The sequence below is a fragment of the Homo sapiens genome, chromosome 2, assembly GCF_000001405.40.
Source record: "Homo sapiens chromosome 2, GRCh38.p14 Primary Assembly".
Classification (NCBI taxonomy): Eukaryota; Metazoa; Chordata; class Mammalia; order Primates; family Hominidae; genus Homo; species Homo sapiens.
In genome coordinates, this window is record NC_000002.12 from 108,837,353 (window position 1) to 108,855,373 (window position 18,021).

The 18,021-nt window shown below is 36.6% G+C and overlaps 2 protein-coding genes across 48 annotated transcripts in view, besides 1 other annotated feature; both read left to right on the forward strand.

Moving 5' to 3' along the window:
* Positions 1–18,021, forward strand: part of RANBP2 (RAN binding protein 2) — a 1,122,820-nt gene that overhangs the window by 117,871 nt on the left and 986,928 nt on the right. The window lies entirely within an intron of this gene.
* CCDC138 (coiled-coil domain containing 138) overlaps positions 1–18,021 on the forward strand; it is a 98,736-nt gene that overhangs the window by 50,603 nt on the left and 30,112 nt on the right. For 29 of the 47 annotated variants that reach the window (XR_007069665.1, NR_147236.2, NR_130121.2 and 26 more), the window contains 2 exon segments: positions 1,833–1,949; positions 9,386–9,578. Coding sequence is in view for 38 of the 44 variants with exons in the window: in XM_047443558.1 (XP_047299514.1) it covers positions 1,833–1,949; positions 9,386–9,578 (310 nt within the window). In the remaining 6 variants the exon portion in view is untranslated. 47 annotated transcript variants of the gene reach the window in all.
* Positions 8,677–8,877: a silencer, noted in NCBI's record as "peak3811 fragment used in MPRA reporter construct". NCBI's record gives its function as "represses an SCP1 promoter by STARR-seq MPRAs in K562 erythroleukemia cells {active_cell/tissue: K562}" and the evidence as "EXISTENCE:reporter gene assay evidence [ECO:0000049][PMID:32103011]".

An 18,021-nucleotide genomic window follows, 5' to 3' on the forward strand; every position in this document is an offset into this window, starting at 1 on the left:
TGAACCGTCCTTGCATTGCAAGAATTAATCTCACTTAGTCATGGCGTATAATCCCTTTTAATATACCGCCATGCACTGTATAATGATGTTTAAGACAATGGTAGACCGTATATATGATGGTGGTCCCATAATATTATAATGGAGCAAAGAAAAAAAGAATATAAAAAGAAAACAGATTATAATGGAGCTGAAAATTTCCTGTCACTTTGTGACATCATAGCTGTCATAATATTGTAGCAGAACACATTACTCACATGTTTGTGGTGATGCTGACGTAAACAAACCTGTGCTGCCAGTTACATAAAAGAATAGCACACACAGCTATGTAGAGTACATAATACTTGATCATAAACAACCATGTTACTGGTTTATGTATTTACTATTTATTGTTATTTTAGAGTGTATCTCTGTCATTAACTGATGCATGTCTTTATTAAAAAGTTGGGGGGAGAAGTTTATATAAAATTTTACTGAGATTATGACTGTAAGAGAGTATATGGCTAGTAAATTTTATTCCATAAAAATACTATTTAGAGATTTCTCAACTTATGAGGTGTCTATAATTTTTTCGATTTTTTTTTTTTTTAAAGACACCAGAGTGGTCAGATGGTAGGAAGACAGGAGTCAAGGGGAAAGCACTGGGCAGACCCTTTATTGTGGTTTCCACATGAAAGGCAATGCAGGGCAGGGTGAATAAATAGGATTGGTTAGTTTGAATAATTTTGGCAGTACTAAGCTCTAGGGGTGGTCCCTAGTGACTCTGGTAAGATTACGGCAGAGAATATTGCCTCCTGGGATACAAGGGCCAGATAGAAGGGGTCTGGCTCTGAATTGGTTAATTTGTCTATCAGAGGCATACTCTAGGCCGAGCACTTTGCTGTATCTAAGAATTGGCTGGTCCAGGGAGGGGCAATCTCTCCCCAACTGGAAAGGTTTTTTAAGACGTCCAAAACATCATAATATACAGAAAATTTTACAAAATACATATATGTATATACACACAATACACTCATAATCATTAGTCCGGAGAATCTTTATACAGTTGACATAACCATTTTCCTGATTGCTATACAATTATTTCCAGGTTTTACTCTTATAAACAGTGTAGCAATAAATATCTTTGTACATGGCTTTTGGAGGGATCTTCTTAAATCGATTTTCTTAGGCTGGTATCTCAGAAGTGGGAGTATTCTGTTAGAGCCTTAGAATATGTCTTTATGGTCCTGAAATCATTTAGCAAAATGATATACTTTTGAAGCAAAATTCATAGACATCCTTAAACAGTTAAATGTTTTTATAAATTAGCATATTAAGATATGCATGCAATGTAGACATATAAACAAGTAAATAGTACTCCAGTTTCTGAAATCCAGCATTTTAAAAAATCCTTTCATATATCTTTTTCAGTATAAATTTATATAGATATAGTTTATATAAATGAGATTTTTATTCCATTTGCTTCCTTGTAAACACCTTTTTTCACCCCAGAATATGCCATGGCAATAAATATAAATCTAGGTTATCATTTTTAATGGTTACATATATACTATAAACTTATTTAATCATTTAAGGTTCATAGAGTATCTTTGTGTAGGTTAATCTCCTTAAACTAGATGTGCTGTTATTGCTGGATGAAAGAAAATGCATATATAAGAACTAAAATACATATTGCCAAATTGTATTGCATATAGTTTTAAAGTGAAGGTTTTTTGTTGGAGAACTCTTTTGTTTTGTTTTGTTTTTAAAGATAATTTTGGAAAATTGTGGTAATTGATTTAAGACATTTAAAAATACTGTGCCTTTGTATTTATTTTCCATCATTTTATCTTTAGCTTTTGCCTCTAATGACAGAGCAGCTACAGTGGATGCCATTTGTGAATATCAAACTTCACGAGCCTTTTGTAAAATTTATATATTGGTCCCTAAGGCAGCTAGATGCTGGAGCACAGGTAATTGGTTAATAGGAATTTATCTATAAGTAATACTCCACCTAATATTACTTCTTGATCTTGTTTCACAATATCTGTTTTGAATATATTCTCTGTATTTCAGAATAATCTTCCCTATCTATGTCTTGCTGGGATTTTGATAGGAATTGTGTTAAACCTGTATATTAATTTGAGAATAATTGACATCTTTCCTTTGTTGAGTCTTACAATTTATGAACATAAAATGTCTGTCCACTTATTTAGAACTTTGATTTATCAGTGTTGCATAGTTTTCAGCATAAAATTGCTGCATTCTTGTTTACCTTTTTGGCTGAGTATTTAAATTTTTTGAGCAATTTTAGTTGGTATTGTCTTTTTACTGTTGATGTTTACATGTTCATTGATAATATATAGAAGTAAAATTGTTTTTTGTTTATTTTGTATCCTGTGACCCTGAGCTTACTAGTTTTAGGAGTTTTCTTGAAGATTCCTCAGGATTTTTACATAGAAAATCATGTTATCTGCAAATGAAAACAGTGTTGTGTTTTTTTTTTCTTTTTGATATGTATGCCTTTAATTTCCTTTTCCTACCTTATTGCATTAGCTAGAGTTTCCAGCAGTATGTCGAATATGATGGTGAGAGTAGTCATCCTTGCCTTGTTTCTCCTCTTAGGAGGAAAATTCATTCTGCCATTACTAAGTATAATATTAGCTGTAGTATTTTCATAGATACTTTCAATCAAGTTCCCCTGTATTCCTATTTTTCTGAGTTTTTTAAAAATCATGAATCGTGTTGAATTTTTTTAGATACTTTTTCTGCATTGATTGATACATGTTCTTTTTCATCTTTAACTTGTTAATATGAATTACATTGACTTTGAAATATTAAAGTCTCTGAAATAAAACCCACTTGGTTGTGGTGTTTAATTCTTTTTATATGTTTTTATATTAACAAATTCTATTTGCTAATATTTTGTTAAGGACTTTTGTTTCTATATTCATGAGAAATATTTGTCTATAGTTTTGAACTCTCTTTGGTTTTGTATCAGGGCAATATTAGGTTCATAAAATGAATTGGGAAGGGTCTTATCCTTTATATTTTCTGGGAGAAATTATGTAGACTAAGTGTTCATTCTTTAAACATTTGGTAGAATTCTCCAGTGAAACTATGTGGATGAGATTTCTTTTGGGGGAGGTTTTAAATTATGAATTTAAGTTCTTTAATAGTTACAGGGCTGTTCTAGTTATGTAATTCATATCGATGATTTGTAGTAGTTTGTGCTTTTTGAGGGACTGAACCATTCAAATGTATGCACATTTATGTGTGTAGAGTTTTTCATAGTATTCTCTTATCCTTTTGATGTTTTCAGTATCTGTAGTGGTAGCATTATTTCCTTCTTGATATGGATAATTTGTGTTTTCTTTCTTTAGTTCATCTCTTTTGCTAGAAGTTTCTCTGTTTCTCCATTTTATTGATCTTTCAAAGGATCATCTCTTTGTTTCATTTCTTTTTTTCTTTTTTTCTTTTTTTCTTTTTATTTTTTTGAGACAGAGCCTCACTCACTCTCTTACCTAGGCTGGAATTCACTGGCACAGTCTCGGCTCATTGCAACCTCCACCTCCCAGGCTCAAGTGATTCTCCTGCATCAGCCTCCCAAGTAGCTGGGATTACAGATGCCCACCACCACACCTGGCTAATTTTTGTGTTTTTTGTGTGTGTGTTTTTTGTTTGTTTGTTTGTTTGTTTGTTTGTTTTTTAGTAGGGATGGGGTTTCACCATGTTGACCTCAAGTGATCTGCCCACTTCGGCCTCCCAAAGTACTGGGATTACAGGTGTGAGCCACCGTGTCTGGCTCAACCCTTGAGTTCTTTAGAAGTTTGTTGTGTTTCTGTTACTCTGTTTTTCTAGTTTAGTTGTATTGTTGAGGTTGTTTTATGGCTGAGAATATGTATTCTGTTGTTTGGTAGAGTGTTGCATAAATGTCAATTTGATCCTGTTGGTTGATGGTGTTTGTGAGTTGTTCTATATCCTTGCTGATACTTTGTCCTGTTCTATCAAGTGTGGAGAGATAGATGGATGTTGAAGTCTCTGGCTATAATTGTAGATTTATATGTTATAACCTTCATCTGTTTTGCCTCACATATTTTGTAACTGTGTTCTTGTAAATTTATGATTATGTCTTGGTGGATTTGCCCTTTTTATCATTTTATAATGTCCTTCTCTATCTCTGAACATTTGCATTGCCTCTGAAATCTCTATCTGATACTAATATAGAGACTTCTGGCTTCATTTGATTCATGTTCTAAAAATATATCTTTTCCCAGTCTTTTTCTTTTGACCTGCTTATATCTAGAATGAGTTTTTTTAATTAAATAGCATACAGCTGCATTTAGAAAAAATAAACTTTGTCAAGCTCTGTTTTAATTGGTGTTTTAGGCCATTTACATGTAATGTACTTATTGATATGTTAGGGCTTAAGCTGTAACTTTATTTTTTTAACTACTGGGTGGTTCTTTTTGTTTCTCTTTTTCATTTCTTTGGTTCATTTTTCTGCTTTCTTATGGGTTACTTGAACATTTTTTAGAATTTTATTTTCCTTTATAGTGTATTGAGTGTATCTCTTTGTATAACTTTTCTAATAGTTCTTCTTGGTATTACATTTGTTTTAATTTAGGATCTTTAAGATGGAGAGTACCCCTCCAATGATTAGAAGTCATAGAAGTTGGAAGTAAAGGGTTTTTCTTGTTTGTTTGTTTGTTTGTTTTTGAGACAGAGTCTCACTCTGTTGCTCAGGCAGGAGTGCAGTGATGATCATAGATCACTGCAGCCTCCAGCTCCTGGGCTCAAGCAATCCTTCTGCCTCAGCCTCCTGTGTAGCTAGGATTACAGACGTTCGCCACCACACCTGGCTAATTAAAAAGTTTTTTTTTTTTTTTTGATAGAGGCATTGTCTTGCTTTGTTGCCCAGGCTGGTCTCTAACTCTTGGCCTCAAGTGATCCTCCTGCCTTGGCTTCCCAAATTGTTGGAATTACAGACGTGAGCCAACCCATCTGGCTGAAATAAAGAATTTATTACTTTTAGGTCCTGGGAGTTACATGGCAAACCTGGAGTCCACATACTTGGAAGTCAGGAAGCACAGGCAGGGAGAGAGAGCGAGAGAGAGAGAAAGGGACCTGTGGGCAAGTGCCCTTATTGGAGTCCAGGATGTTACCCATACAGGTTTTTCACAGGCTGTTTTGTTTGTTGAGTTTAAAGCAAGCAGACATGAGTTCTAGGAGGTAGTCACTGTGGCATGTTCACACAGTCCGTAGTGAGGTGTGAGGGTCTGTGAGACAAGTTGTGCGGGCTTCATCTAGCTATTCCATAGGGAAGTGGTCATTAGGGAGGAGTTGTCTAAGGCAGATATCTGAATCAAACATATTTAGGAACTGGGGGAGGGGATGGGGATTTAAAACTGGAAACAGTGTTAAAAGTGACTGATCCCTGCTTCTAGGGTGAAAAAGTCCAACTTACATTTAAAATGAATGCCAGGGCAACATCAAATTATAAGCATTCACTACAACATTATGTAGAACTTATTCAGTCTATTGGTATGGTCATTTTACCGGTTTGAATAAAGCACAGAAGCTTTACTTCCCTTTTTATCCCTTAACCTTTTCTGTATACGCTTAGAACCACATTAGAGAATGTTACCATTTTTGCTTCAACCGTCAAACAGAATTTATAGAACTCAAGAAGAGAAGGAAAGTTTATTGTATTTACCCATATTTTTGTTTACTATGTTCTTCTCTCCTTCCAGATGTGCCACAGTTCCCTCTTTCATTATATCCTATCTATCTGTTTAGAGGACTTCTTTATCTGTTCTTTAGAGTAGTTATTTTTCTTTTTCTTTTGAGGCAGGGTCTCACTCTGCTGCCCAGGCTAGAGTGCAGTGGCATGATCTTGGCTCACTGCAACCTCCGTCTGCTGGGTTCAAACCATGCTCCTGCCTCACCCTCCCAAGTAGCTGGGATTACAGGCGCCCACCACCATGCCTGTCTACTTTTTGTATTTTTAGTAGAGATGGGGTTTCGCCATGTTGGCCAGGCTGGTCTCGAACTCCTGACCTCAAGTGATCCACCTGCCGTGGCCTCCCAAAGTGCTGGGATTACAGGCATAAGCCACCGCACCTGGCCTAGAGTAGGTTTGCTGATGACACAAACTCTTAGTTTTTCTTAACATATTTTGATTTCCTTTCAATTACTGAAGGATATTTTCACTGGGTATCAGATTCTAGTGTGACAGTTCTTTACTTTCAGTACTTGAAAAATGTGCCAATTCTTTCTGCCCTCCATGGTTTCTGATAAGAAATCTGTCATTTGAGTTATTTTCCCCATATATGTAAGGTGTCATTTCTCTCACACACATTTGTCTTTAGTTTTTATAAGTTTGACTATGATGGGTCTTGGTGTTGATCTCTTTATTTTAGCCTGTTTGGTGTTTGTTTAGTTTCTTCAGTCTCTGGGCACGTTTTTTGCCAAGTCCAGGAAGTTTTCAGTCATTATTTCTTCAAGTTCATGTTTTGTGTGTGTGTGTGTGTGTGTGTGTGTGTGTGTGTTTCTTTCTTTTTTTTTTTTTTTTTTTTTTGAGACAGGGTCTTGCTCTGTTGCCCAGGCTGGAGTTCAGTGGCACAATCACGGCTCACTGCAGCCTCACCCTCCTGGGCTCAAGCTGGGACCACGGTCATGTACTACCTTACCTGGTTAATTTTTTTTTGTTTTGTAGAGATAGGGTCTCCCTATGTTGCCCAGGCTGGTCTTGAACTCCCAGGCTCAAGCGATCTTCCATCTTGGCCTCCCAAAGTGCCGGGAGTGCAACCGTGAGCCACCGCCCCCAGTTTCTTCAAGTGCTTTTTCAGCCCTACCTGATTTTTCCTTTCCTGGACTCTAATGACGTGATTTTAGATGTTTTGCTATTCCTTGAAGTTCTGGTGGTTGTTGTTATTTTTCCAGGTTGTTTGCAGTTGTTCAGGTTGGGTGTTTTCTGTTGTTTTATTTTCCAGTTATTCTTTCCTCCATCCTCTCCATTCTGTTATTGAGACTGTTATTGTATTTCCAGTTCTGAAATATTCACTTGGTTCTTTTTCTATGTCTTCTTTGGTAAGACTTTCTGTGTCTTCGATGAGATTTTCTAAAAGCGTATGCAGGTGTTCCTTTTGTCATGGCTACTTTAGAATCTTTGTCAGACAATTCTAACATTCTGTCCTGTCGGTGTTGGCAGCTGTTGATTGTCTTTTCTTCATTCAGTTTGAAATCTTTCTGGTCCTTGGAATGGTGGGTGATTTTAAATTGAAAACTAGACATTTTGGGTCTAGATTTGTTTCAGCAAAAGTTTTAACATCCTTAGGTGAAGCTTCAGCAACAACCCAGAGTGCTATTTTTGGAGTTTTTTCTCTTTTCCTTCAATTAAAGGCAAATACTATCCACATTTTTTTTTTTTTTTTTGAGACAGAGTCTTGCTCTGTCATCCAGGCTGGAGAGCAGTGGCACGATCTCGGCTCACTGCAACCTCCGACTCCCAGGTTCAAGCGATTCTCCTGCCTCACCCTCCTGAATAGCTGAGATTACAGGTGCACGCCACCAAGCCCAGTTAATTTTTGTATTTTTAGTAGAGACGGGGTTTCACCATGTTGGCCAGAATGGTCTTGATATCCTGACCTTGTGATCCGCCTGCCTTGGCTTCCCAAAGTGCTGGGATTACAGGCGTGAGCCACTGTGCCTGGCCCACATTTTTTTTTCAAGTTTATTTTTTCATTATAAAAGTGTAGTAGTAAAGCATTAGAGATAATTTTAAAAACAAAAAAAGTTTACCTTAATCCTGTCATTTAACACACTTATTGTAAGTAGAGTTTTGAACATTTTTTTCTATTTTTTACACAAAGGTTTAAAAACATGTATTTTTTTTCTAATAATATAAAAATTGTACTGACAATATATTTAAATTAGATTGCACTGCTTGTGTGTCTGACCACTCAACCATTTGGCCTTTGTCACCTGTAAAACCTCAATAGATTTGTTTTTAATTTTAGATGCAGAAATTTAAAAGCTAAAACTTATCCACATTGCAGGATCAATACTGAGTTAGGAACCAGTTGGTCACAAATTTTCATGCAGATAGGGGAAACTGCTATAAAAACTCAGTCACATGAGATTGGAGAATTGGGTCATAATAAAGGAAATTTTAAGTTTTTACCAAATCTGGTTTAAGCATTCTGATCTGCAACAGTTTGAAATGCTTTCCTTTCATTTGATTTTTTTTTTTTTTTTTTGAGATGGAGTCTCGCTCTGTCACCCAGGCTGGAGTGCAGTGGTGCGACCTCGGCTCACTGCAAGCTCCGCCTCCCGTGTTCACACCATTCTCCTGTCTCAGCCTCCCAAGTAGCTGGGACTATGGGCACCCGCCACCACGCCTGGCTATTTTTTTGTATTTTTAGTAGAGATGGGGTTTCACCATGTTAGCCAGGATGGTCTCGATCTCCTGACCTCATGATCTGCCTGCCTCGGCGTCCCAAAGTGTTGGGATTACAGGCGTGAGCCACCGCGCCCAGCCTCATTTTATTCTTAATAGATATATCAAATACCATTAGATCATATATTATTTTAGAGGTAGTTTCATGCTACTATTTCTATTTTGCCCATTTTTTTTTGTTTTATTCTCCATGAGAATTATCTATGATTCTAACCCAGTATTTTACTGTTTTGAAATTGCTAAAAGTTTTTGGAGTCACTATGACTTTTTAAATCAGAGTTAGCTGAAGGGACTGAGGCTCTAGATAATCATTTCTTAAGTGAACACAGAAGGATGTGCCTGATAAGCTGGTTTTCATTGATGGTGGAGCAATCAGCAACTGAGAGAGTAGGTAGTCCACCTCTGTTCCCTTGCTATTTCTCTGTGTCAGAAATATAGCATGATCTTATGTTCTTACATGTTTTAGAAAAATGTACAGTCACAAATAATTTTTTAAGTTGATAAAATTGTCACTTTCCAATTTTACATATTTTCAACTTTAAATTAGCCACAGATTTCACTTACTTTTAATACATATATTTGATTTAATATTTAAAATAGTTATTGGCCAGGCACAGTGGCTCATGATCCTGTAATCCCAGCATTTTGGGAGGTCAAGGTAGGAGGATCACTTGAGCCCAAGAGTTCGAGACCAGCCTCAGCAACTTAGTGAGACCCATCTCTACCGAAAAAAAAAAAAAACCTGAGTGTGGTAGTGAGTGCCTGTAGTCCCAGCTTCTTGGGAGGCTGAGGTAGGAGGATTGCTTGAGCCCAGGAGTTTGAGGCTGCAGTGAGCCATGATTGCGCTACTGCATTCCAACCTGGGCAACAGAGCAAGACTGTGTCTCAAAAAAAAAGATATATTCTGAACATGAATAAATATACTAAGATTGTACATATTTTTAACAGCACTCGACTATGACATCAACATTGAGGAGATTGGGTGAAGACATTTTTAAAGGAGTGGTAACTAAAGGAATTCAGGATAATTCTCCACAGCATTCTGTGGAGAATAAACCAAAGACAGCTGCTTTCTTTAAGAGCTCCAATTTGCCATTGAGATTTTTATCAACCTTAATTGTTCTCAAAACAGTCACTCAAGGTAAGCTTTCAATTGTACTTATGGTTAATTTTGAGAAACAATAGAGAATATCATATATTAAAGCAATTCTTTTATCAAATATGTTGTACATTTTCAGAATGAGGTTTTGAATTGTTTTATAATGGTTACACATTATAAAAAGCTACTTTTATTTGCTGAATTTGAGAAATTGAAGTCTTTAGTTGGATTCTTGCCTCCTCCCAAGAGGCCTTTGATTGTCTTAGGTCATATTCCCATAACAACCTTTGCCTACATCTATTTGTATTTGTCACATCAAATTGAAATTGCTAGTTAATTATTTTCCACTAGCGAATGTGTTGGTAAACTAGTCCATGGGCAAAATCTGGCCTACCACCTGTTTTGTAAATGAAGTTTTCTCCCACAACCATGCTCATTTGTTGTATATTGTCTATGACTCTTTGCCCTACAGTGACAGAGTTGAGTAGTTGGCAGCAGAGACTGTATGGCCCCCCAAAGCCTATAATACTGTCATCTGGCCCTTTACAGAAAATGTTTTTCAGTGCTTGCACTAGCTTGTAAGTTTCCCAAAGAAAAAACTTGTTTATAATGACCCTGCACCTAGTGTAGTGCTTCATATATAATAGTGAATAAGGAAATGGATGAATTAGAAATCCTTCAAAGTTGGCCCTAATTAATATGTGTTTAATATTTAGCTATAACAGGTTATATTATTAAATGTGATAATTTTTGTTAAAGTGAGTTATGCCAGTGTAGTCAGGCAATAAATATACCATCTTTCTGTCTTCCCTGTTTGTTAAATTTTTTGTTAAGCTCAGATTGTTGTTTTTATTAATGGGCAATGACAGTCATTTAATTTGACTTCTTTCTTTGAAGTATGTTTCATTTAGTTACTCCCGATGGTATGGAATTGATGAAAAAGTAAAAAACCATATAACTGCCTTCTTAATTATTTTGCCTCCTTATGGTTATGGTTCTCAAGATTACAATAGACTAGGTGGTTAGTGTGTGAAAGGTCACTTACGAGAAGCAGGGATTAGCTCAAAATAAAGTTCGCCACAGACCTATCTCCAAATCTTAAAAAAAAATACACACACGCTTACATACCCACAGGTAAATGGATTCTAAATAAGAATTTTAGCTGACACATCATAGCCACACATTAAAGCATAGATTCACTAAAGATCAAATAATATTAGTATCAAGAATTTGAAGCCAATTTAATATAAGAAAAATTATTAATCATTTATCATTTAACTAAGATGTTTGAAATAATATGTCAACATACATTATATCATTTAATAACATGTAATGTTCATTTCTGATAATATGCTAAGAAAAGCAAAAATGCAATAAGGGATATTTATGTGAAATAGAAGGGAATTAGGTGCTCTCTGTCACCACTTGTGTGCAGCAGTTTTGGACATCTGTAATGAGCCATGAAAAAATGAAGTATGAATATTGGGAAGGAGTAGAGAAGACCGTTAATTTGTGGAGACTCTGTATTAATCGAGGGCTTTCAAAGAAATATAACAGGGCATAAGAATATGGATAAATAATGGATGGATGAATAGGTTGATGAAGATTATTGCTGAAGTTAAATGTCAGAAATAAAGAACTTTTATTCTTCCTGCCTATGAAGACGAAGTGTTTTAAAAATAAGATGTCCCATATGGCTTAATGTATAATACCAGTTAAAATTCTAATATAGTTTGCGTAAGTTGAGGAAGTGTTAGGGAAATTTATGTGGAAAAATTTGCAACAAATGCGATGATTTATAACAAGTAAAACAGCAACACTGGGGCAGAGGCTTAGCCAACTTTAAAACAATCCTAATATGTAATGATACAAAATGAGTAATAATTTATTTAATAAATCAAAATAGGACAAAGGGAATAGGAAGTCCAGAAATGAATCAAAATTGGCACTTCATATTATGTATTGAATTAATGACTTTGCTTCCCTGTGCAAGTCATTTTTTTAAGAACATAGAATCTTAAATCATATGATACAGATGATAGAATTAGTAGACAAGTCTTTACTGCAGTTATTATAACTATATCCCTGTGTTCAAGAAGGTAAAGGAAAACATGAGCCTGGTAAGGGGATACATGGAAGATACGGGATAAAAAGACTTCAATCAGATTTCTGCAAATGAAAAACCCAGTGCCTGAAATTTAAAAATACACTGGAGAGAATTAGACACTGCAGACAAACGACTAGTGAACTGGGATACATAGCAATAGAAACTGTCCAAAATGAATTACACAGAGAAAAAAAATCTACAAAAAAGAAAACAGAACATCAGTGAGTTTTGAGACAAAATCATATATTCTAATATTATGTACTTAGAGTCTATGAAGAGGGGAGACAAAAACTATTTCAAGACATAATGGCTCCAAATTTTTGAAATATGGTGAAAACTATAAACACACAAATCCAAGGAGCATGTCCAGCTGAGCTCATGGTCACTCCTATTCCCTTTTCCTTAGCCTCCTCTAGATACATGTGTGCCATCCCTTTCCTCCACACCCTGGCCACTGGATTTCAGGAATACTGCCTCCCATGGTGACTCTCCATGACCTTTTCAGTGGCTTCATCACCTCTCCCTAGACCACAGACAGGCCCTGACACGTCTCCCTGCCTTCACTCTCTAGTCTCCCTTCACACTTGTTGTGAACGATTCTTTCTCACAAGGTTCCTGCCTAACAGATACCCTTTAAAGCTGCAGGCTCCTCAGCCTGGTGGCCTCAAAAAAGAAAAAGAAAAAAAAATCTGACACTAATCACTGTGGAACAAGGAAGAGATACAAGAGTTCTCCCTTTCCTTATAGTCTGGCCTCTCCCAGCCTAGGCACAAGGGTTTCTTATGAGCCCAAACCTGTGGGGTTCCAGTGTTCATCTACTACCTGGGGCCAAGGTACATGCTGCTGCCATCAAGAAAGAAGCCTGAATGCTGATGAGTCTCAGGGAGAAGAGCACTTTCTGACTGCAGGTGTTCTCTCCAGTAGCTGCAGGCAGGTGGGGTGTGCCTGCACACAAGACCTGGGGCTAGGAGGGTTCAACAGGATGCATGGGCCAGTGAATACAAGTGTAAAAGGGGCCTTTGTCCTGGCCAAATCCCAGCACATGCCAGCACCTAGGAAGAAATGTCAGAGCCAGATGGTCCTCGGAACTACTGTCAGACACTGTCATGATACAGCTATTTATCCTTTATCGTTAAATATACTGAAAAAAATTCTGGGAGAACTAAACATTTAAACATAAGAAAAACTCTTAAATCCTAAGAGTAGACTTAACTCTAGTAAGAAGATGTTTCCTATTTATAAAATAGGAACATCAGTTTCAAATTTGATAAATTTAGTAGAAAATGAGAAAGTAGGCAAATGTGTTGGGTAATAGGCAGATGCATTGGATACTACACATAATATTAACTGCTTAATCCAGATATATATAGATCTATGAAGATAATACCTAGTTATATTGAATAGACTGTTCATATAAGAATCAGCATATATAATACTTGGCGAGTTTTTTTTGTTTTGTTTTGTTTTGTTTTTGGAGACAGAGTTTCACCCTGTCGCCCAGGCTGGAGTGCAGTGGCACGATCTTGGCTCACTGCAGCCTCTGCTTCCCAGGTTCAAGCGATTCTCCTGCCTCAGCCTCCTGAGTAGCTGGGATTACAGGCACGCACCACCACACCCTGCTAATTTTTTCTATCTTTAGTAGACACGGGGTTTCACCATGTTCGCCAGGCTGGTCTCGAACTCCTGACCTCATGATCTGCCCGCCTCAACCTCCCAAAGTGCTGGGATTACAGGCGTGAGCCACTGCGCCTGGCCAGTTGGTGAGTTTTGACACCACAGTGCTGTCTAGGGAAAACTCTTTAACTGTGTTTTTTCTCTACTCCCACATGACAATAATCATCCACACAGAAGAAGACTTCTGTGACAAAATGTGTGGAGGTTTTTCCCCACATACCAAGCAGCAGACACAAGCTGCTCCAATTCACTTCTGACACGATCCACCTGGAGATAGTGTCAGATCCCACAAGTTGGGCACTCAAGTCTCCAAGGCTGCCTCGTGCCACACCAGTTGCAAGTCCGGCCCTCTGGAACTTCTGACCAACTGGCTTCAAATTGGGGTTCCTACAACCCCCTCTTTGGGTTTAATTTGCTGGAGTAGCTCATAGAACTCAGCGAAACACTTAACCAGTTTATTATAAAGGATATTGCAAATGATGTAGATGAAGAGAGAGACAGAGCAAGGTATAGGGGAAGGGGCATGGAACTTCTGTCCCCTCCCTGGAGCACCACGCTCCAGAAATCTCCATATGTCCAGCCGTCTGGAAGCTCTCTGAACCCATTTCTCTGGGGTGTTTTGTTTTTTGTTGTTTGTTTGTTTGTTTTTGAGATGGAGTTTTGCTCTTGTTGCCCAGGCTGGAGTGCAATGGCGTGATCTTGGCTTGCTGCAACCTCTGCCTCCCAGGTTCAAGCAATTCTCCTGCCTCAGCCTCCCGAGTAGCTGGGCTTACAGGTGCCTGCCACCATGCCCAGCTAATTTTTGTACTTTTAGTAGAGATGGGGTTTCACCACATTGGCCAGGCTGGTGTTGAACTCCTGAATTCAGGTGATCCGCCCACCTCAGCCTCCCAAAAGTGCTGATATTACAGGCGTGAGCCACCGCGCCCGGCCTTTCTCTTGGGTTTTTATGGAGGCTTCCTGACATCACAATTCTGTCCACCAGGATATAGGGCTGGACTCTCTCTGGGGAGGATGTTAAGACCCACAATCAGAAAGTCCAGGAAAGATTAGAGTCCTGGCTTGGGCCAAGTGAAAGGAGGGCAGGAGAAGGTCAGAGACCTTCCCCTGAGGCCTAACACACCCAACATCATAACAAAGACTAATGAGACGAAAACCTATATATATATATCATAACACCACAGATACTAAGCTCTTTATACCTTATCTCTGAATACTATTATCCTCATATTAGTGATGAGGTTTACAAAGGTAGATAATTGTGCCAAAACGATACAATCTGCATTTGACAGAGCCTAATTTAGCCTCTATCAATTGCTGAAGCCTACCTTCTTAAGCCTATTTTATGACTACCTAAGAGCATGTACTTCCTGAGATAACCAAAGAAATAAACACCTACATAGCACTTACTATGTTATAGGCCGAGCACTTTATATATATTAACTCATTTAATCCTCACAACAGTTCATGAGATGTCAATATTATTATTGTAATTTTACAAATGAGGAAATTGAGGCATAAAAAAGTTTAGCTGCACACAATCAGTATGTGATGCTCAATCTCTGAAATAAAATTTAACTGTAAGATACAACTCTTCTTTATGGAAAGAAAGGAACACTTGTACACTGTTTGTGGGAGTGTAAATTAGTTCAGCCATTGTGGAAGACAGTGTGGCATTTCCTCAAAGACCTAAAGACAAATGCCATTCAACCCAACAATCCCATTACTGGGTATATACCCAAACTAATAGAAATTGTTCTATTATAAGGACACATGCATGTGTTGTGTTCATTGCAGCACTGTTCACAATAGCAAAGTCACGGAATCAACCCAAATGCCCATCGAAGATAACCTGGATAAAGAAAATGTGGTACATATACACTATGGAATACTATGCAGCCATTAAAAAGAATGAGATTATGTCCTTTGCAGGGACATGGATGGACTTGGAGGCCGTTATCCTTAACAGACTAATGCAGGAACAGAAAATCAAATAACACATGTTCTCATTTATAAGTGGGAGCTAAATGATGAGAACACATGGATACATAAGGGGAACAACACACACTGGGGCCTATCAGAGGGTGGGAGGAGGGACAGGATCAGGAAAAATAACTAATGGGTACTAGTCTTAATACCTGGGTGATGAAATAATCTGTACAACAAACTCCTATGACACAAGTGTACCTGTGTAACAAACCTGCACAGGTACCCCTGAACTAAAATAAAATAAAAAAACCCAACCATTACAGAAGTAAAATGAGCAAATATAATGTGTCACTGAGAGGATATAGGCACAATTTTGTTTGTATCAAAGTTAATATTTTTGAAATGCATTCTGCTCACAAACATCACCAAAATACATCATAACCTTTCGTGAGATCTACCTTAAGAAATAATTGCAAAAGTAAAAATGTTCCAAGGTGTTAATATGCTGTTTGTAATAATGAGAAAAGATAAATAGCTGATAGACCCACAATCGGAATAGTGAAGAAAATGAACATCAACCGAGTTCTTGGACTTTGCTGGCATTGTTTTAGTCATTGTACTTGATTGTTTCAGATTTATTCCCTGCAATAACTATGAGGTAGGTCATGGTGTCATTTTTACAGAAGAGCAAACTGAGGGTCAGTCTAATATAATTGACCCAGATTTTTCTAGAAATATTGGGCCCTTAACCATATCATGAGCATAGTACAATATTATATGTCATTAACAATAAGTATGGAGATACAGAAATCTATGTGTATTTTAATTAATAAAACCTTCAATATATGTGTACCAATTTAATCTAGAAATTGTTAAAAGAAGTTGTAGGAACTTTATCTGATAGAATTATTTGGTTTACTGATAGCTTTCTTTTTTTTTTTTTTGAGAGATGGGATCTCACGCTATCACTCAGGCTGGAATGCAGTGGTGCAAGCATAACTTACCACAACCTTGAACTCCTGGGCTCAAGCAGTCCTCTTGCCTCAGGCTTCCAAGTAGCTGGGACTACAGGCATGCACTACGATGACCATCTAATTTTTTATTTTTTGTAGAGATGAGCTCTTGCCATGTTGCCCAAGCTGGTCTCAAACTCCTGGGCTGAAGCTGTCTTCCCCTCTTGGCCCCTCAAAGCAGTGGAGTTACAGGCACCAGCCATCCCCAGCCAACTGTCTTCTATATGCAATATATATATACTATATATATAATATATATACTATATAATATATTATATAGTATATATATTATATATTATATAGTATATATATTATATATAATTTATATATAATATACAATAAATATATATAATAAAATATATATAATATATAATATATAATAAATTTATATTATATATAATATATAATAAATTTATATTATATATAATATATAATAAATTTATATTATATATATTTTATATATAATATAATAAATTTATATTATATATATAATAAATATATATAATATATACATATGTAGAAAATGTGTACATTAGGACTAGGACATTTGTCCTGTCCTACTTGGCACTTGGCTCTCAAAGCAGATTTATGTATTTTTAAATTGTGAGCTTATACTTTAGGTCTAGAGAAATGTAGGGAATTGTTGCTGTTCTCAGTTAATAGGAAGGTTTGATTTGGTAGGAAGCCAGTATAATGTAGTAGTTACTTCAACTCTATAGTCAGACAACTAAGGTTTGAATCTTAGCTTCACTACTAGCTGTGTGGTATTTGGAAGGTCTTTTTTGTTTGTTTGTTTTACTATTTCCACTACAATTATTTTTTAATGAGAGAATTGATGTAAAGTTTTAGCAAGTCTGGCATAAAGTCTTTAGCTACTATTGTTATCAGTAGACATTATTACTTATTATAAAACTTTAAGAGTTGGTTTTACCTGAGATCAGAATTGAGGTCTGTTAGACTACATTAGTTGTTTATTCCTGCTTAATAAACTTCCAGAGACTTAGTGGCTTAGCTCAACCACCATTTTATTTACCAGCTCACAATTCTTTGGGTTGGTAATTTGGGCTCAGCTCATCTGGATATTTGGCTGGGCTCGGCTGGGCTTGGTTCTGCTGTTCTTTCTTGGCCTCTCTCCAGGGGCCTGTTTATAGGTGAAGAGTATATAGCTGAGCCTCAGGCTTCTAATTCACACAGCATCATTTCTGCTACATTTTATTGGTTAAGTTACAAGTTTAGCCCAGATTCAAAGGGTGGGCAGTAGAGTTCACCTTTTGATGGCAGTTTCTGCAAAAGACTTTCTAATCATTTTTAAATTTATCATATAAACAAAATAATGGAAAACCATATTTCATACTGATTAAGATCAGTAGTTTGAAGTTTGACTTTTGTTAGGGAATAAAAAGGTTACATTTGATTGCCAGGACATTGTTAAAAGACTGAATAATATAGCATTTATAAAAAGAAACCAACTTTGATATAATTGATAACTAAAATTTTAAAAATACTCTTTTAGAAGTTAAATTGCTCTTGTATTTAGAAAATCTGAAATATTCAATAAATTAAAATGAAGACAAAATGAGGACATAATTTTGATTTATCCCTAAAAGATAAGGTCACTTGTGAAAAAGAAACCAAATACAGTTTTTCTAATCCTCAAGGACAATTTTTTAAAGTTTGCAAACTTAAAAGAATACCATATAGTAGTCAGCCTATTTTTAAAAACTGTATAGTATTCAACCTGTTTAATCTTGTCAAATTATAT